The sequence below is a fragment of the Homo sapiens genome, chromosome 1, assembly GCF_000001405.40.
Source record: "Homo sapiens chromosome 1, GRCh38.p14 Primary Assembly".
In the NCBI taxonomy this organism is placed as follows: domain Eukaryota; kingdom Metazoa; phylum Chordata; class Mammalia; order Primates; family Hominidae; genus Homo; species Homo sapiens.
Window position 1 is genome coordinate 169938554 of NC_000001.11, and position 20918 is coordinate 169959471.

General features: G+C 34.5%; 1 protein-coding gene and 1 pseudogene across 9 annotated transcripts in view, besides 2 other annotated features; both read right to left on the minus strand.

The window, feature by feature from the left end:
• Positions 1-20918, minus strand: part of KIFAP3 (kinesin associated protein 3) — a 163856-nt gene that overhangs the window by 17225 nt on the left and 125713 nt on the right. For all 9 annotated transcript variants that reach the window (XM_024454186.2, NM_001204516.2, NM_014970.4 and 6 more), the window contains one exon: positions 15458-15557. In XM_024454186.2, coding sequence (XP_024309954.1) covers positions 15458-15557 — 100 coding nt within the window. The remainder of the gene's footprint in view (positions 1-15457; positions 15558-20918) is intronic.
• Positions 2702-5385: an enhancer, noted in NCBI's record as "VISTA enhancer hs1442". NCBI's record gives its function as "enhancer in: limb[10/11] | genital tubercle[9/11]" and the evidence as "EXISTENCE:transgenic organism evidence [ECO:0001131][PMID:17130149]".
• Positions 6487-6655: a silencer, noted in NCBI's record as "fragment chr1:169914181-169914349 (GRCh37/hg19 assembly coordinates)". NCBI's record gives its function as "represses an EF-1alpha promoter that drives an FKBP-Casp9 reporter gene in an ReSE screen in HepG2 liver carcinoma cells {active_cell/tissue: HepG2}" and the evidence as "EXISTENCE:reporter gene assay evidence [ECO:0000049][PMID:32094911]".
• RN7SL269P (RNA, 7SL, cytoplasmic 269, pseudogene) lies at positions 19389-19693 on the minus strand (annotated as a pseudogene).

The following is a 20918-nucleotide window of genomic DNA, read 5'->3' on the forward strand; positions in this document are numbered from 1 at the left end:
TGTCTGAATACTGGCTCTGACCTTTAAAACTTCTATTAAACAAACGTCTATTGAGAACCTAGTGGTGCCAGTAGATAGAACTTTGAAAAAGACAGTCAAAGTTCTTGCCCATCTAGAGACTGTATTCTTGTGGTAGGAGGGAGAATAAACAAGTGAACAAAAATTAAATTACTAGGTTAGATGAGGGAGAAGCAGCTTCTTTGATAATTCTCTTAGGAAAAGATTCTCTGAAGAAGGAATATTTGAACTGAGACTTGAAAGGTAAGAAGAAGCCAGTTATTTAAAAAGTCAAAAGACTATTCCAGTTAAGCACAAAGGTGACAAAGTGCGAAAGAACTTGGTGAATGTCTGGGGAAGAGAAGGGAGTCCAGAGTGGGTAGAATTAACAAGCAATTATAACTGGAATATTTGATGAGGCTGGAGATGTAGATAAGTGTCAAATAATGAAGGACTTTATAGAACATGGTAAGAAATTTGTATTTTATTACAGGAGTATGGGAAGCCATTGAAGGCACGTGAGAGACGTGATATGACATACTTGAAAAAGATCATTATGGCTACTGTGGAAAAAATGAAGCAGAAGGGAAGTGCAGAAACAGGAAAATTAATTAGGCTATTGAGTGGTTCAGGTGGCAGATGATGGTGGCATGGAATAGGGTACTAACAGTGAAAATGGAAATAAATAGCCAAATTTCAGATCTATTCCAGAAATGAAATGAAAACAACAGGGCATGCAGATGGTTTGCAGTGGAGAGAGAGGGTAATGGTGAAGAAAAGGGAGATAATAAGGAAGATTCCAAAGTTTAAAGCTTGAACTACTAGGTGGGATGGTGGTGACACATACTGAGACGAGAAGATTAAGGGAGGAACCTGTTTATATGTGAGAAATCAAAAGTTAAGTTTGATAATTTTATTAAACATTCAATTTGATAGCATAAGGAATAAGGATGGTGCTGAGAGGACAAGTCTAAGCTAAAAATATAGGTTTACAAATGGTACTTAAAGCCATGGATCTGGATGTAATCCTAGGTGTGGTGGGTGCAGTTAGAAAAGAGGGTCCCCCAAAACAGGGTATGGATAGAGAACAGGGATATAGCCCTGAAGTAACCAGCATTTAAATGTGGAAAAGAGAAGGAATGGCCAGCAAAGAACATTGGGAAGAAATGACAAAGGGCTTAGGAGGAAAATCAGAAAAATGGGGTATCTTGAGAGCTGAAAGAAGGGAGTTTCAAAAAGCAGGGCCTGGTCAACTGTGTCAAAACCAGCTGAGAGGTAAAGATGAGAATGGTCCATTAGATTTGGCAATATGAAGACTATTGGTGATTTTGACAAGAGTGGGGAAGTTGAAGAGCACATGCAAGTCTTTTGAGAAGTTTTGGATAAAGGGAATTGAGAAACAGGAAGCAGTTGGAATATGATGTGGGGCCAAAGAGTTTAACTTTGCAGATTCTGATTTATGTTTATATGTTGACAGGAATGATCCAGTAAAGGGGAAAAGAGTGACAACATAAAAGAAGTCCTTGAAAAGACAAGAATGGGGTCTAGAGTAAAAATGGGTTTATTGGATTTTGAAAAAACTTCTTTCATTGTAATAGAAGAAAGGTGGGCAAAGGTAAGAATAGTTTATTGATTGAGTGGTGGCAAGATAACCTGGGGTAAGTTGCTTAAACCTACATGCTTCAGTTTTCTTAATAATAGTGTCTCCCTTCTTCAGCTGTTGTGAAGAGTAAATTAGATAAGGGATGTAATAAATAGCAATTCATAAACTGCCTGGAACTCACTAAATATATTTCAATAATTGCCATCATCATTATTGGTCCATCTATCTCATATTGTACATAGATCTGAAACCATTTAGAGCAGCAGCCCCGAACCTTTTTGGCACCAGGTACTGGTTGTGTGGAAGAATTTTTCCATACATGGGGGAGGAGAGACGATTTTGGGATGAAACTGTTCCACCTCAGATCATCAAGCATTAGTTAGATCCTCATAAGGAGCACACAACATAGATCCCTAGCATGCAGAGTTCACAATAGGGTTTGTGCGCCTATAAGAATCTAATGCCGCTGCTCATGCAACAGGAGGTGGAGCTTAGGCAGTAAGGTTTGCTGGCCTGCTACTCACCTCCTGCTGTGTGGCCAAGTTCCCAACAGGCCATGGACAGGTACTGGCCTGGGAGTTGGGGACCCCTGATTTAGAGAATACCATTTAAAATAATACAATTAGAATAAAGATTGTGTATGTCACTGAAGTCAGCATTGTTTCTACTCCTTTCCAGCAGTTTCATTTAAAACTCTACTGGACTGTTCATGTCCCCAAAACAAATTCTTTTGAGCAGTTGCACTTGTTTAAGAATTATGTGTGTGTGTGTGTGTGTGTGTGTGTGTGTGTGTGTGTGTGTTTAAAGACAACAAAAACTGAAGAAAACAATGTTTACTTCATGAAGAAACTTTCTGTGGACTTGCAAGGTTAGAATTTTGGGCAGATTTAAAGTTGCAAAGAAACGAAGAAGCAAACTATAGAAAAGGCCCTCAGATAAAGTCTAAAATTCTGTTTTCATCTTCATCTTTTTTTCACATGCAAACTATTATGTTACAATTTAAGTAGACATAGGTCTATTTGAAAACAATTCTAAGAGTATAAGCTACATTTTGAAAGTTCAACATTCTAACATTATACCTAATACCTTCTGAAAAGGCCCTGTGAGTGCTGCACCTCTTTCCTTTAAAATGTTCAAACCACTCCTCTTACCCTCCTCTTGTATTGGGGTAACTAACAACAGGCATTTCCCCAAAAGTGGATCCTCTTTTTATCAGGAGATCTGACTTTACTGTCCCCAATTCAGAAACAGTCTTCTGAGTTCTCAATACACTTTTGGTTATTGCTTTTATGGTAGTTGTCTAAATCAATAAATATTACATATTTTTTCTTTATCTCAACATTTTGATTTTTATGAGGATGAGAATAATTTTTTCTGTGAAATTAGATGGCTAAACAGTAACTGTGACTTCAATCTTCTGGGAAAATATAAGCTGATTTCCTTTTTTGATTTATTTTATAAAATTTCATATTTCCATATATAAATTTGACCTAATATAAATATACAATAAAATATATTTATCAATGACTATCACCCAAGATGGCCCCCTGAGGGTGAATTTCTTGACAAAGAAGTTGCTAACTTCCAGTTGCCAACCACAAAAACAAAGCAGTAGAAAAGATAAGAGGTGTAAGTAAAAAATATATTTAACCTGTATTAACTGAATCAGGTAATTAATGCCTCAATTGAGAGGTTTCATTGTAACAAAAAAGAAAATAAATATGATTCTTTATGTACTTTACTATGAGGATGCACATATTAATGTATAAAATTCAGCTTGCTTAAATGTGATTTTGAAATTCTATTGATTTATTCAACATATTCATAGTATTTCCTTTATGTTTGTAAGGACCCATTTGATAAGATGGTATAGTGTGTGTTAACAACAATGTTATTTTTACTCTAAGAAGAGCTCTTATAAAGTGAAACTTCAATTTTTTGAAATCCTTGAAATTCCCTTAAATTTCCTTAAGTACTGTGGTGTCTTCTCTATAATGAAAACTGAAAAATAATGTTATGACTCATTAAATAAACTCAGTAAGTACAAACTTATGTTGAAACTAAACATACAAAATAACTAAAGAAATAACAAACCATTTTATTTTATTTGAGGAGAAAAAAGAAAAAAAGGCTTGGTCTTTAAAAAGGATTAAAATAAACTCAATTTATGGAGTCTTGGAATCTTCACGGCAGTGCAGACGGACTTCCACTTGCCCTCCCCTGGCCCACCTCCTGCACACCTTCTCCTCTTAGTTTATTCACATTTTAAATCTTTCTTCCAAGTTTGGCCTGCAACCACTTGACTGGATAAAGTAGGTCACTTGAAAAGGAAGAAAGCCCAATAAAATGAATTGCAAAGAAAACAAGATTAAACTGATTGTGCTGTTTTCATACATTGTAGCTGAAATTCTGCAAATATGCAGTTGGCTGTGGTTTGGCATTCAACAGAATGTGATCAGTAAGGAGGAAATTTTATTCTCATTAACTGCTGCAGATTTACTGCAGTGAAAAAGGGCTATGTAACCCAAGATGTGACAGTACAGAAAGATCAAAGCCATGGACTGGAAACTAAATAAACCCTCTGGCTACTTCCTGCAAGGAAAATTCACTTTGGCAATGTAGAACAGAGCCCAGTTAAAAACTACTCTCAGTTTTATGAGCTGTCATAGCAGTTCAAGTGGTTTGGACTGGCTGAGTTTATAACATTATATTTCCTTGTTTTTGTCTTAGATACTTCCGTAAGCAGTTTTAAAGACGCCCCCCCCCACCCCTTTAAAAAACACAACAACAAAAAACTAATTTCTTTTGATTGAAACCAAGAAGGTAACCACTAAACTTATTAACGCAGGTAGGTCTTCATTTGCAGATTCCTTTCTCATTTAATACAGCTTAATATTTTATTCTTAGATTTATTTGGTAATATAAATTTACTTAATAATTCATCTACAATCTGTATAATTCCTATTCAGAATAAGTGCAAATCAGTTTACAGAGCCCATATGGCTCATATCTGAGGAGTAAGCTATTTGTAATAGCACATCTGTAAAGACTATGGGCAATATGGAGATTATGGGAATTAATATTACATTTAAAATTACATTTGAAAACCTGTAGGCCCTAGGTTTTAGCTGTTTCTTAAAAAACAAATATCTTAGAAAAAATATCTAATATTTCTAATATAAGAAATCTAACAACTGTTCATAAATAGTTAAATTACATTGTTAAATCAATCAAGACAACAATAGGCTAGATTAAATCTACCTTAAATTAGAAAATATCCCTGAGTTAAGGAGTAAGCTCAATATCATTACACTCATATTTAAAGGAAATAAAAGATGACATGCTCTATTTCTCTCCCTTATTTTTTTAAGGGGGAATAGTGATGCTTATTAACCAATTATATACAATTTTGTTATTCTCATTATAATATGAAGGAGCAAGCCTTTATGACGGTAATTTGCATTATATTACCTTAAAAATCATTTTTGTTTTTTACAATAAGAGCATTTCTAGGTCAAATATGTCATAAGAACCGTCATCCTTGCTTAAAGACTTTCTTTCTTTCCATTTAAATTTACAACTAATTTCTATCTGTAAAGCCAACAAAAATGCAATACATGTGAAAAGTATATGACGTTTAACACTAGATAATCACTCTTAAATGGTGATGATATAATTAACTTGCCAGACACAACTGGATTGGCTTCTGTGTCATTTTTTCTAGTACAAAGCTGTACCATAATTGACATGTTAACATTTTTAAAGGTTCCAGTCATATTCGGGTTACGTTTTAAATTTATAGACTCAATTATGCTGAATTTCTTCTACTAAGTCAAAGTCCTAATGTCACAGGATCCTTGGGGTGTTGCTTTGCCACCCAGAAACCATTGTGGCTGGCGGCACCTTCTCCCTGAGTATTGTTTGCGCCCGCTGGGCTCGTTCTGCCCACTAGGCCCGATAGGCTGTGCTCAGCTTGAGCTACCAACCTGGATCCCACACCTGCCAAGGGTTAGCCAGGTGTGGAGCGGCGAGGTTGTGTGGGTGACCAAGCGCAGGGTCTGGTCACCACGCACAGCAGGCATGCTGGCTGACTGGCTACTATGGCAGGGTGGTTAGCTCCAGGCACTGGTACAGGTGCTGGCTCTGTGTGAGGCTGCAGATGGACCAGATGTACCGCACGCAGCTTCTGCTCTGAGCAACTGCGTCTGGATGAGGGAAACACAGAGGCGCCCAGAAACCTGGAGAAACTGGGAACCGCAGAGCCCCACAGAGGGTGTCACATCCCTGGCTCAGGAGCAACTACGTCTGGGCTCTTGGAAGAGCCACAGCTCTTCCCTCCTTCTCGTTTCCCACAACATGGTGAGTGGGGGCGACGTGTTTCAGCCCCGTTTGTGTTACAGCTCTTTGAGTCCTGCCATTCAGGTCCCAGGTTCTTGTTTCCCATCCAGGAAGAATGAGGTTAAGTGGACAACTGGAGGGTAAGCAAAGGGGAAGAGGAGCTCCATTGAGTGACAGAACAGCTCTCAGGAGACCCAAAGTAGTAGCTCCTTTCTGCAGGCGGCCTGATGAGTGTCCAGCTCTCAGCAGAGAGGAGATCTGCAGTGGGTAGCTCCTTACAGCAAGCAGGTAATCCCCACGTCTGTATGAGTCTGGCTGAGCCTGGGGTTTTTCTAGGCTCAGAAGGGAGGAAGTGCATGCTGATTGGTCCATGGCTGGCCATGGACAGGGCCAGAAAAAGTACAAGTTCTCACTTTGGGTGGGAGACTCCACCTGGAACCGGCAGCCTGGTCCCCAGGCTCAGGCCATCCCTGGTTAGAAGGTGGGGTTTCACTGGGGATTCACTCCTTTTTGCCCAGGAGCCTGCCTGTTGCCATCAACATGCCATCCAGGGTGCCCAGGCAGCCCATACTAAGCCACCTTCAGCACCCCCTGGCCTCCCTCCCTGAGCTTGTAGGTGCCCAAAGCTTCAGAGGGGGCTGAGGCAGTGGGGGGCGGGGGGGGGCTGGTGTGTCAGTACCGCCCCAAGTGCAGGCACACCCAGCCAGGTCATGACAGTGCCTGGGCTTGGCTTCAACTTTGCTGCAAAATTGGAGCAGGCACCGGCAACAGGGAGAGGCCAGGGAGTGGAAGCAGGCACTTCCGAACCTGCAGGGGCAGGGGGCCTTCCCCAGGCCCCCAAGAGCACAGGGATGACCTGGTCTCAAGCTGTGGCTGGGCGGCTGCAGCTGTGCCCAGGAGTGTGGGGCTCCTGGCCTGCCAACTTGGCAGGGGGCAGGGCTCATGCCTCTTCCCAGCCTGACAGCTCTGTGTAGCTCACAGTGTCAGCTGCGCCTCCCCAACTGCAGCTGGCATCCCTGCAGCAGCTGCTCCAGATGGGCCACTGCTGCCATCACTAATAAAGTTACAATAAATTTGGTTTTATTTGGGAGCATCTTTGGGCTTTCTATACAGCTAATGTGCATGCCTTCAAAATTTTTGCTCAGATTAGCAGATTTAAATTGAACACTAACTTGAAGAGGGTAGTTCTGTCACAACTTCTCTTGTTTCTAAAGTTTCAAAAGAAAGCGAATCACTTGAAATATTTTTTCAACTCAGGACTATAATTTCTCTAGGATAAAACATCTTCCCAAGTTTCCAGGATTCTAAGCCTTGATTTGTGGCTCATATGTCTATATTTCAGTTAAGTTTACAATTTACTAATGCCGATGTGTGATAATCTAATAAAATCTGCCCTTAAAGGTTATAGGCCCAATTTACTAATAAAACCTAATTCAATTCTCCTTGGGAAATGCAAATCATTAGTGTCCAAGCAGCAGAACTGAATTTCCTTGCCTTTTCTATATTAGAAAGAAGCTGTCTCTCTAAGAAGTCTAAACAAATAAGAGAAATCAGACTATTAATAAGCCCATGAGGATTCATTTATGAGCATTTTTAAAACAAATGAATTTTGCATTTTAAAACAATGCAAAAATTTAAACTGGTTAATTAGCTGAATAAATGATTTTTAAGAGGCATTTACCCTTCTAGACTGAGAATATCCCACTTATTTCATTCCCATTTTTTATACAACTGGATTTAATCTGTAGAGAATTTAGTGAACTAACTAAAGATAATTTAAAGGTAGTGAACTAATTACTTAATGTATTAATAAACCCTTAGCTGCTTGCTTCCAAGCAAATCTGAATCACCAGTTTGCAGTAAACCATGTCAAATGTATTAAATCAAACTGGGTAAACAGTATGTCATGTTGCACAACAAAACCTACATATCTTACTCTGAATTTTAATAACATTTATTTTAAACTTTCTAAAGTACAGTTCACTGATAAGACTAATATATCTGCTTGTCATCTGGAGGCAATAATGATGTAATAGTAGGAGTGTTGGCTCTTACCAAGCTTAAAGGCTTCACTATTAGCTACCTGGTTTTAGGCTAGTTCCTTAAAAATATCTGAACCTTAATTTTCACATTGTGAAAATAGGGACAATATTACTCCTTGCCCTATAACCTCACACACTTTTTAATGATCAAATAAGATACATGAAGATTTAAATGCAAGATAAATGTAACTTATTAGACTTCATATACTTAGATTTAGAGTAAAAAGGCTTAAACATTTTATTCTTTGAATCTTTTAGAAGGCTCCTAAGGTATTCCACCTTCTTAACTAAAAAAGTAATTGGGACAGCTACTATGAAAGTACACAGAAAGAAAAAAGGGATTTCATGTAAAGATTATGTAAGATCAAGACTCTTATACTATAAAAATTTTTTATTTGCTTTGATTTTTTCCTCATTAATTAGAACTATGTTATGACATAGCTATTGCACTCTTGTTCTCCTGTTTTTACCATCCCACAAGTTTAAGAGTAAAATGACCACTGCATTATCTTAGGAATAATTTTACTTGTCATATAGTACTATTTCTTATGGTTTTACTCAAAAAATTTTACTGTACACTTCTGCTTCATTAATACTGAAGAAGGTGGAAAGAACTTAAAATTATTTCTATTGGTCTTACCTACCTATGTCATTTATTACTTGGCTTGAAATAGATGTTTACATATATTGAAAATAATGTCATTTGGATAACTGAATACAATTATAACAAAAATTTGCACAGATCTGAGTATTTTTAGATCAAATCATATACCATGCCCGAATCAGAGCAACTTTTAAAAGTAAACAGGACACTGTATTATTATCCAACCTTACTGTTGCTATAAAGAGGTTCTACTGCGTATGTTTAAATCATGACTTAAAATTCTATTTAAATTGAGAAGCAACCCTTGCAAATATCCCAACCTGGATCCAGCTAAGAACAAGTATTAGGGACTTATGCAAATGTGCATGTCAAGAACAAAGTGTAAATAAAATGTATGACAGTGACTTGCATTCAATGATATTTTTTTAATATTATACTATGTTTCATAATAGACTTATCTTAAAATATGTTTACATATTAAGAGTAAGTCAACAAATCTGTTATAATGTTTTAATACATGAAAATCAATATAAATGGATTGAGCAAATATTCTTAACCATACTGTCTGCTATCTGTTACTAGAATTACAGATGTGGCAGTGATGTATCCAATTTTATGCTATCAAAACATCATATATGAATAAAATTTTTATAAAAAACATTTTTAATAAGGAAGAGGAAAATTAAAAGTTCACTGTGGTAAATCATTTAAAAAGTGAAGAAGTTTATGAAAGGTGGATATTCATTAGTAAATGTATCTATTTTGACTTATTTTAACATTCACATATAAAGTTTACTTAGAGAACCAGTGTAATATAATCTAGTATGTAGACAAAAATCTCATGGCACAAAAATAACGTTGTAAAAATGTTTATTCCACTACCCTCAATGTATCAATTTTCTTTGACACATAATAACTTATTTATCAGTCTTTATGTTTATCTCTGATTATTTCATATGGACAAATTCTTAGAAATAAAGTTATAGAGTAAAAGGAAGTAAACAATCTAAGGCTCTTGTTCTTTATTACCAAATGCCTTTCATAAAGGTTTTATTAAATTCTACAACAGGTGTTTAGGAGTGCTGTTTTGCTTTGATGTGTGGGTATTAGCACTAGAAATTATTTGGCAATTGATAGGTGAAAATGTTATGTCTGCTTTATTTTGTAAACACCATGTCTAGAAAAATGGCTAAGTCAGTTTTTTTGAAAGGCTTCATGAAGCATGTTTTCTGCTGAGAAAAAGTAATATGAAATTCATAAATAATAGAAAAACTATGATCATCTTTGGTAAAAAAAAGTAATAACACACTAAATGAAGCAGTATTTTAGTCAATGATTATTTTAAAAAGATTTTATAGGTTTTTAGCAATTAGGTTAGTTCTTACAATGCTGAACAAATGGTTGGTGTCAATGTCTATCAAAGAAAATGCTTCTGAGAGGTTCTTTTCACTTTTTTGATCCTTCCATCTAATTGCTATGCTATGGCCACAGTAATGAAGATCATTGAACTTAAATTATTAGAACAAATGAGTTTGGGTTATTAATTAAAAATTGATAAAGGACTTATCAAAGAAGGAATTTTGCAGGCATATTTACTTTCCTCTCAATATAAAAGAATTTTTTGCTTGGCCAAATTAAGGGCTGTAAAATAGACAACTTAGTTTCTCTTCTGAATAACTGCTTTGAAACAAACTCATAATATACAGTTCTAGTAATATGTAGTTCTGTAAACACTGCACAATGCCTTTTAGACAGAGAATATGTAATTTTGAGGTTGCTTTCTCAAGGGAAAAAAACAGTAAACTAAATAGCTGAGTATAATTAAGGCAGCCTTACAGCTAAACAAATAAGTCTAATTTTTTTATATGTAGAATTCTAGAATTAAAAAATCATACATTTAAAAATTTGGGTAAAAGATTATTTCTTATATTTTAAAGAAATAATTTTTTAGTTCTCCTCAGTATGATTTTTAAAAGTACAACTAATATCCAACTGTGATTTAATATTTGAAAAAAAAGAGACCAAAATAGAAGGCATATGTATATGTAATATATAATACATATAATGCATAAAAAAGTTAATATTAAAGTACTCTAAGAAAAGAAAAAGAGGCAGGCTATAACACACACATAGAAAATGAAAGTTTAAGAGTCAGATGGCTCAGATAATGCATACATCTAGTTTGTCTTTGACCCCACTGAAATGGTCAGTAAATGACATCACTGTGCCAACCACAAAGAAGAACTCCAGGCTCTCTGAAAAATATTTTTCAAAGCCCCAAGGAAACCTAAGCAGTCTCTGCAATTTTTTTTCCAGTTTATGAAAATTGGATTCCTATAAAAGAAAAATGGACCATTTTTACTGCAACAAAAACTGATTTGTAAAAGCTGGAAGCAGTTTAAAAATACCCTTAACATGCGGTTCTTGTTAGTCTTGAAAAGTAAAAGTTATAATAAAAAAATGGTCCAAAAATATGGTGCAGATACATGGTATACATAACTGGAAAAAAGCTAGTCTTGCTCCTATTATTTTTAATTAGCTTCAAAAGCAAGTTCCACTTTACTTTCTAACACCAGTTCAGATTTTGGGAGGGGAAGATTTACATTTGACGCTCTGGGATTGGCAACTCCATAGCTATTGCCTTAGAGCCCTAATGCATTTTGCATTAGCTCTAAATGTTGGGAAATCCTGGCGCCAAGAGGTTCAAACTGATAGTGACACATGTCTAAAACCCAGGATTCACTGTCCAACTGCCAATATCTATTTTATCAAACATCCAGTCTTCTTATAGAATGGGATAGATGAGTTTAACAGTTTTCACTGTTTCCAATTAAACTGCATTGCTATCTTACAAAAATGAAGGTATTCAGATTAAGAAGGACCCCCTGACTTGGATTTTAAGAAAAATACCAATTTCAACTATTTAAATTCTTCTCTAAATCTGGCTTAGTTTCTCAGATTTTAATACATTCATCCTATTACTGAACCTTGTCATTTTATGAAGAAATAAATAATTTTTCTTTAAACAATTAAAAAAACCCTTGTGTCATACAAATTAGCAATTTGTTATTTATTACATGAATCCACTCAAACTGAAACATTAAGAAAACAGAGAATGAAAAGCCATGAGAACTGGCTGAAGAGTATGCCACTTGGCACTGTCATATTGTTTCGTGTTTTATCCCACATATTGTTATACTTAAATCATTGAAAACAATGGTAATGATAAAAGTTCACCTTTTATACATTAATCAAGTATTACTCTTTCTCCAGATAACTTGACAGTGTTTATTTATCAAAGACATATGAAGAAGAAGCAGGGAAAGAATTTATAAATCATCTGGACCATTTCCCTGATTTAAAGGAAAAACACCCAACAACTCCAAATAGACAATTTAATCTTTTTAAGATATTTAGAGAATCAGCTTTTTCAATATGTAAAGATCAATTCAGCTATTATTCTTTCACAGTTAACACAAATTCTTCATGTTGTCCATTAAGTCTGCTTATTCTCATCTTTACAGTAGAGATGAAGAATGAGTTCAACAACTTCTCTTTAATTAACTTGCATTTCTTGAAAAAGATTCCTACTTTGCTTAAAATCGGTTAAAATTAAAAATTTCAAAAATATTTTTGAATGACTATTATTTAGTTTAATGAGATTTAAATTCACCTATAGGATATCAGGAGCTGAAATGTAGCCATAGTTTAAAATTTCACATTATGCAGCAAAATTATCATATTGAAATATATGAATAATTATGTAACAATTTAAAATACTTAAATCTTTGAATTGAAAAATATGCCACACTTTCAGATCCATGGATACTGTTAAAAAAGAGCTTAGAGGTCCTATTAAAAGGAGAATCTTACCCACCACAAATGATTGAATAAAAGCAAAAAAGCAAATGATTCCAGAGTAAGTCAGTAAAACAAAGTGTGAAAAAGAAGACTATGAATCTTTGGCTATATTGTGTAATCCGTCTGTGGCTCTGCTGATACAGTTTAGGGTCCCTTTTCATTTGTTCTATTACCTACCACAAAATTTGAGGAAATTCATTGTGAATTATTTCTTCTAAACATGAAAAAAGTGATACAGTTAAATGTGATTGAAGGCCTTAAAAATTACAAAAGACAAGAGATGAAAGTCTTAACTTTCTCAGGGAAAGTTCTTTCTAAAGGGCAAACAATTCTCAAATGAAAATAATTATAAAATTGTATCATTCTTTTGATTTGAAAAACAGTCTATAGTAAGTTTTATTAACTAATCTTTTAAGTCAATATTACTGGGATATGTCTTTTGTGAAGTAAAAGAAGCTACTTACATATTTTTACTTTTGAAAAGAAAGTAAAGGTACAAAGGTAAAAGGATTTTCCCAAAGTCATGTAAAAAAATCTTATTAACAGAATGGAGGAATAAAATGCTGAAATCTTTGGACCCAGTACATAACTTGTGGAATACATTTATCTCTCTCAAAACTTTTATTAGTTTATAAAGTAATCATTTTTGAGCACTAGAAATTAGAGATTTTGCTGAATTGAGCAAAAAAGGATTTTCTGTATTTTAGTGAAAATGTTTAGTTTTTTAAAAGTCACATAATTAAATTTAAAAAAAGCAAGTCTTTCTCAAATAAGTAATGCATGATTTATAGCAGTTGGTTTTCTTTAGATTCACAGTATCTGCAGGAGATACAAAAATAATGTTTTGCTAAAAGTAAAACATAAATGGCAGAATAATTAATCTTATAAATGCTATAAGCAAAATTTTTCAATATAAATATTAAGATCACATATCTAAATCATTTCATCCTTTCCCAATTATGTTTCAGAAAACATTTGTACAGTGAATTGTCACCTGATAGAGTACAGTATTTATAATGATTAAACAGAGCCTCTATTTAAATAACTATAGCTAATAAAGCCAGAAGCATCAGAAGTAATCAAAAGCCATATGCTTTCTAGTATTTAACCATGTTTAGCTTTTATTTCCTAAGGCAAGGTGTTTCTTACTATGACAATCTAGTACACAGATGAAACAATTTTTAAAGGGCTACTATTTATTTAAAGTACACTACAGAACACTGAACTACACAAAAGGTTATTACATTTCATGTAATACTCCTATGATTTTCCACCATGCTTTTAAACTTTGGGTCATGACCATCAGCAAGTTGTAAAATCAATTTAGTGAGTTGCAGTTTGCATTTAAAACAGGAAGTGGAATATAATAAAATATAATTGTGTATTACAGGTAGAGTACCATTTTAAGAAATTTTTGTTTTACACATATATATAGGTAGATAAATATATGTAAACAGTTTACATATATATGTATAGGTAGATACATGTATATAAACAAATATGTATGTATGCATTAAGTTCAAATATGAAAGGTATTTCTTTTAATGTGGGTTGTGATCAAAAAAGCTGAAAAATCACTACAGTATATTTTGTGTCCTCCAAATGAGGCAGCATGTTATACTGGAAAGAACATAAACTTTGGTGATATATACACCTGAGTTCAAATTGTTGCTCCATCATCCTACTTGTGTGAATTGGTTAGTTAACCTTGAATTTTTAGAGCTGTGATTTCATCAGTAAAACATATAATAATACTTGTTTTAAAATGTTGCTGTGCAAGTTAAAATATATACGATGAATATTTGTAAAACAGATTATATACAATGGATAATCCATAATGGCTGAAATTATAATTAGTATTAAATTAAAATAACGCTACAAGTGATCATTAAGAGTTATCGCACATTGGTCACAACTGTATTGTTCATTTAAAAAATACGTGAACATATCTTACACATAGAAAATAGCTTATCCTAATGAAAAGTAGAATTTAAGAAGAAAAAAATTAATAATTTAATGAAAAAATTACTAGGCTTAAGGGAAAATAACACTATAACTGTTCACTGGACTAGCTTAATGTGAAATGTCAACGGTCAGCCTTAATTAAAATGTTACACCTCTAGGAATGATATGAAGAGAAAAATATTGTTTATACTTTCTGGCGAGATTTTAAAAATCTATTATATTATTATGTAATAAAGCTGGATATATGCTGTGGGGAACTTTATTATAATTGCAAAACAATACTGGCCTGACTTTTTTTTTCTCTTAATTATTTTAATAAAATGCCATCTAGGGAGGAAAAGTCTTCAATTTAATAAAAGCACCAACTTTTTAAAAACAGCTATGTCTTGGGTAATTGTTAAAATACACATCTTCTGTTCTCATTTTATATTTTAATGGCTTTGGAAAACACTCAGAAACAATCTGCATTCATTAATTAGGCAAAAGTATTGTTTGTGTCAACAGACAATCTATATTTTCCAACTTGAAGAGCATATTTTGTTTTAGATCTGTGATCCCCATTTTTTTTTTGAGACGAGTCTCGCTCTGTCACCCAGGCTGGAGTGCAGTGGCGTGATCTCGGCTCACTGTAAGCTCCGCCTCCCGGGTTCACGCCATTCTCCCGCCTCAGCCTCCTGAGTAGCTGGGACTACAGGAGCCCACCACCACACCCGGCTAATTTTTTGTACTTTTAGTAGAGACGGGGTTTCACCGCGTTAGCCAGGATGGTCTCGATCTCCTGACCTCGTGATCTGCCTGCCTCGGCCTCCCAAAGTGCTGGGATTACAGGCGTGAGCCACCACACGCGGCCTTGTGATCTCCATTTTTTAAATACAGAAAATGTGACTTCATAAGTTAATTTAAAATCAAACAAACATGCCCTTGAAAAGATTGAGGGTTTTTTCCCCCCTCTTAATGAAAAAGAAGAGAAATGGAGAGTGAAGAGGATTTTAGCTTTCCAAAAGCAACAGATACTACACATTAGATTTTTCTTGGAAAACTGTTTACCTGCCAGGAAATGAATGCTGCCCAACAACATCTCCATTTTGAAGGTGGTAATCATTGAAGAAATCGGGACTTATGGCTCCTTCAGAGGCAATTAATCCATCTAGAAAGAAAAAAAAATGGTAACCAGTAAAACATATGTGTAGGAAAAACCTGTCTATCAAGCAATACAATAAGAAAATAACTTGTATATTTAATCTATAAAGAAAAATGTTAGCATGACATGCTGTTCTCTCTGGGAGTATGAACAGACAACTGTATGTACCTTAAGTACTGGTTCACAATAATGCAGCACAACAACTGAACATTCATTGAGCATCTACTATGTATTTGGCACTATGTGAGTACAGAGAGGAATTAGTCTCTGCCTTCAAGCAGGCTTATGGTCTCGTATGGAGAAGAAAGAAAAAGATAAGGAAGGGAAGCAAGGTGGGGACAGACAGTAAGGATGGTTCAGGCTAAGGAAATAGAACAAATAAAGGCAAGGAGGTATTAAATAGTTTGGTATTGGTAAAGGGTAATACTTTATTGTATTTCACAGCTTTATTAGTGTAGCATGATTAGGGAATCAGATATACCAAATAAAATAAGTGAATTTCTAAATAAGCAATATTTGACAGTTTAAGTGCCAGACATTAAAACACACACACAAACTTACATTAGAAATCTTCATATAGTTTACACTCCTTATATTCTTAAAAGGATATACTATACAGAAATATTCCTTGATTATTCAATATTCATTATAAATACTAAATATTGTACAGTCCCTAGCGTTGTGAGATATATCTGATTACCTACGCTAAATAGTTCTATACTAGTATGCTTATTATTCTTTGCTTATAAAGTGCTTCTTTCCCTAAATTTAAGTATTTGTTAAGATATTTTCCTGATTATAGAGTTGTACTACTTTCTCATTTGTTCCAATCTAAGAATCTAGATAACCTATTTTTGATAGAATTATGAATAAGGTAAGAATAAAAAGAATCTGAGGAAAAAAAGATCTAAGTGATGGCTTCAGAGCTGTTCAATGAATAGAACAAATACGTTAGTATACTGCTTTTGTAATAACTATTTGGACAGCTTTGAGGCCTTTCAAAGTTTCCTTTTCTGAAAGTATGCTGGGTTGTTGAGTGGCCTGCAGATAAACATTAGCTAGGTCATACCTACCACATTGTTTATACATTTGGCACACAGTATAGGCAAATTATTCAATCACCAAATGATTATTTTATACTTAGCACATGCAAATACTGTGCTAGGTCCTGTGGGAAATGTATAAAATTACAATACATAACCTCTGTTTTTAAGAATTTTAGTTTAAGTGAAATATAAGACAAACACTTAAGATGCAATTAAAAATGTAATTTATAATAAATGATATACAGAAGGAATGGATATAAGTACCCAATAAGTGTGGAGGCAGTAAAAGCTATAGAGGGGTCAGAAAATTCTACTTTGAGTGGAGGTGGCAGAAGTGTAACAGATTTGAGTCTGGAAAGACAGGTAAGAGTTAAATGACGAAATCTGTTTGAGGAGTAAGGGTCTAAAAAATTGAGTGAATGGTAAAACTAAGTAATAGAGTTGGCAAACGAATTAAGTGGGGTAATTTGTATTTCCATAAGACTCTCATACTACTCATTTGATACATATATCCATGTTACACATCATATATTAATGACATATTATTATTTAATTGTCAAATTGTTAATGGACACCTTTGGTATCTGTCCTATTACTTTACTAATTTAAAATACTTAAGAGATTGCTTGAGTTTCTACAGAAAGTGTCAGTAATATTTAATCCAGTTTTTATGTCCACTAGAAGTTAAAGTTTCTATAAATCAAAAAGACCAGCTAAACACTGAAAAGTTACAAAAAAATGAAATCATGGAAAATGACAAGACACCACAGACTGACAGTAAAGCAATGTAAAAAAATCAATTTTATATGGATTCTAGCCATATAAAAACTTGTGATTTTATATATAGTAAACTTTTTAAAAATGGCTGGGATTTTGTGAAAGTGGCTAAAACTAACAAACTAACAAAACTAACAAAAATCAACAAGTTCCTCTGTTAAATTAAAACCAAAGAATTGAGAATCGGAGTTTAAGAAACCTGCCAATTTTAGAGGAACAAAGCTAAGTAAAATGCCAAAATAAAATATATGCCACACGTGGAAAATACACACAAAGATATTCGGCATGCCAATAAAATAAAAGAATTTAACACTAAGAAATATTTCATAAATAAAGCCAAATGAAAAGATATGTGAATTATGTAAAAAAGTTTATACTTATAAAATATGACATAGTGAAGTGATCCAGATTAGGTAGAAATTAAGTAAAAATCTGACCAAATTCTCAACATCTTATTTTTGATTCAGAATGCCTATTGTCTTCAAAGGGAACAATGAGTAGCAAAAGGATAAATAGAAATACAGGGCACTAGAAAATGGGCGATCATCAAATAGAAATCAAATTAAAAATTTTTTACTTCAAAGATTCAGCCAGAAATTGTATAAATCCAGAATACAACTAGTTCAATAATATGTCTACTCTTATGTGAATAAAAAAAGAGTAAATTTATACCACTGAAGTTCTTTTTTTTTTTTTTTTTTTTTAGACACAGGGTCTTGCTCTGTTGCATAGGCTGGAGTGCAGCGGTACAATCACAGCTCACTGCAGCCTCAAACTCCTGGGTTCAAGTGATCCTCCTGAGTAGCTGGGACTACAGGGATGTGTACCACCACATCTGGCTAATTTTTAAAATTTGTTGTAGAGACGGGGTATTTCCCAGGCTGGTCTTGAACTTCTGGCCTCAAGTGATCCCTCTTGCCTCAGCCTCCCAAAGAGCTGGGAGTATAGGTGTGAGCTACAGTGCCCAACTTCATTTTTAATTTTCCTAGGACACTGTGGTTGATTAAGTAAACTGCAGCTTCTACAGTGCCCTTTATGGCTTGACAAAAGTTAGGCAGCTCTGACATATGAGTAATCTTTCTTTACTAGAATGAGGTATAAAAATTCTGTTAAAGCCTCTCATCCCAAGCACCTCAACTTCTTTGGAAATATCTTATTTTTTCTTAACATTGTTCCACCAAAATTAATTCTTTTAGGGAAATATTAAAAAAGAATCATAGCTTCTTATTTATTCTCCAAATAAATCTAGGAGTGTCTTAAATTCCTACTCTAAACTTGTTTCAAAGATATTAACAAGGAACTAAAGTATTTCATGGAACATTTAAATGACCAGAGAACAAACAGGAAACACAGATGATATACACCATAACACTCTAAGCTATAGAGTATTATACACATTTACAGTACTCAATTATATAAAACCTTTTAGACCACAGTTATAAAGCACACCTTTCTGAGATGCCCCAAGTAAGATGATAAAGGCAGTTATGAACAAAACAGAGCATATACTAGAACAGTGATGAAACCAAAGCAAATTTGTTGTCAACACAGGTAATTTATCAACCTTCTGATTTCTGAAAGCCAGTTTTAAAAAACTGGCTTATAAACATTGTGAATTAAAAAAAATACAAAAACTCAGTATCTTCTTATATATCATCTTGTATATCATATACTCTTACTGAAATACAGTTCTTTTTTTTTTAACTCTTTTTCTTTTTGAGATGGAGTCTCGCTTTGTTGCCCAGGCTGGTGTGCAGTGGTGTGATCTTGGCACACTGCAACCTCCACCTCCGGGTTCAAGCGATTCTCCTGTCTCAGCCTCCCGAGTAGCTGGGATTACAGGCGTGTGCTATCACATCTGGCTAATTTTTGTATTTTCAGTAGAGACGGGGTTTCACCATGTTGGCTAGGCTGGTCTCGAACTCCTGACCTTAAGTGATCCACTTGCCTTGGCCACCCAAAGTGCTGGGATTACAAGCATGAGCCACTGTGCCAGGCCAACTTTTTTTCTTAAAGAGACAGGGTCTTGCTATTAATAATTGGCCCAGGTTGGAGTGCAGTGGCTGTTCACAGGCATGATCTCACTACCGATCAGCATGGGAGTTTTGACTTAATCCCTTTTGGATCTGGGCCAGTTCACCCTTCCTTAGGCAATCTGGTGTCTCCAACTCCCAGGAGGTCACCATACTGATGCTCAACTTAGTGGGGACACCCGATTGGCATAGCTCACTATAATCCAGAGCTCTTAAGACTCAAGTAATCCCCTCACCTCAGCCTTCTGAGTAGCTGGGACTACAGGCACATGCCACTATGCCTGGGTAATTTCTTTTTCTTTTCTTTTTTTGGTAGAGACGAGGTCTCACTACATTGACCAGGCTAGTCTTGAACTCCTGGCCTCAAACAACCCTCCTGCCTTGGCCTCTCAAAGTGCTGGCATTAGAGCTGTGAGCCACCATGCCCGACCTCTTTTTATTTCTTAAAGTCAAATGAAAATATAATATTGGGCTTTTTGGTGAACTAGCTAAAGGTGAAATTGTGACGGTATGGGAGAAAATAGATGTCAATAGTGTAGAGTATGAGAAAAAGAAATAACTAAAATGATGAATCTTATTAATAATTTATTTGACTATACTTTACAAGACACATCACAGAAATACATAGGTAGTATGAAAACTATGTTTTTTACAATATTCCTGAGATAGAACAAACCATTTTAAGCTTCATATTCCAGTAATACATTCACATACTAAGATTCACTAAAATTAATGAAGAACAATTAAAAAATAAAAAGTCATTTAGATATATGTAGTAGCAATACGGCTTTATAAATGACAAAATATTTCCTCTATGGGTAAAAGTACTAAAGCAAACAGCTTCATTTTCATAATAGCAAAGGACATTAATTAATGACTACAATCACAATAATTTTAGACTAAGTAAAAAATACTGTAACTAAAGGAGATGCTAGTTTTGTATTTCACATAATACTAAGATTTTTTTTTAAAAAACATGGGAGAATCATATACATTTGACTATTAAATCGTCTGAAAATACAGAGAATGATGCTAATGACTAGAAAATAGCACATGCCATTTCATTTTAAAGTAAAAGATAAGACCCAGGGAATTACGAGCCTCTCAGTTTAACCTCTGTGGCTGAAAAGCTGCTAAAGCTGTTCTTATCAGAAACAGCCTAAATTTTCAGGGAGACGCAGAGGCTTAAAAACATGGCTCAAGCATTCAAACAAATCTGCAGGAGTACAAATTTATCTGACGTTTTCTGATGCTACAATCATACACAATAAAGGAAAGGAGGCTGATATTATCTAGATTTCCATGAGACACATCAAGAAATGCTACAGGGATTCATTTAGTCCATGGACTATCCATGGAAAATGATGTAGGTAAAATAATTACTAAACTAAAAAAAATTGCTTGCTATAAGAAATTTAGTTTTAGACTCACAGCATGTAATTTCTACTGTCAAATGTCTATCATATCATCAGGCTATAGATTAAAAAAACCTAAATGTTTCTAAGTTTTGG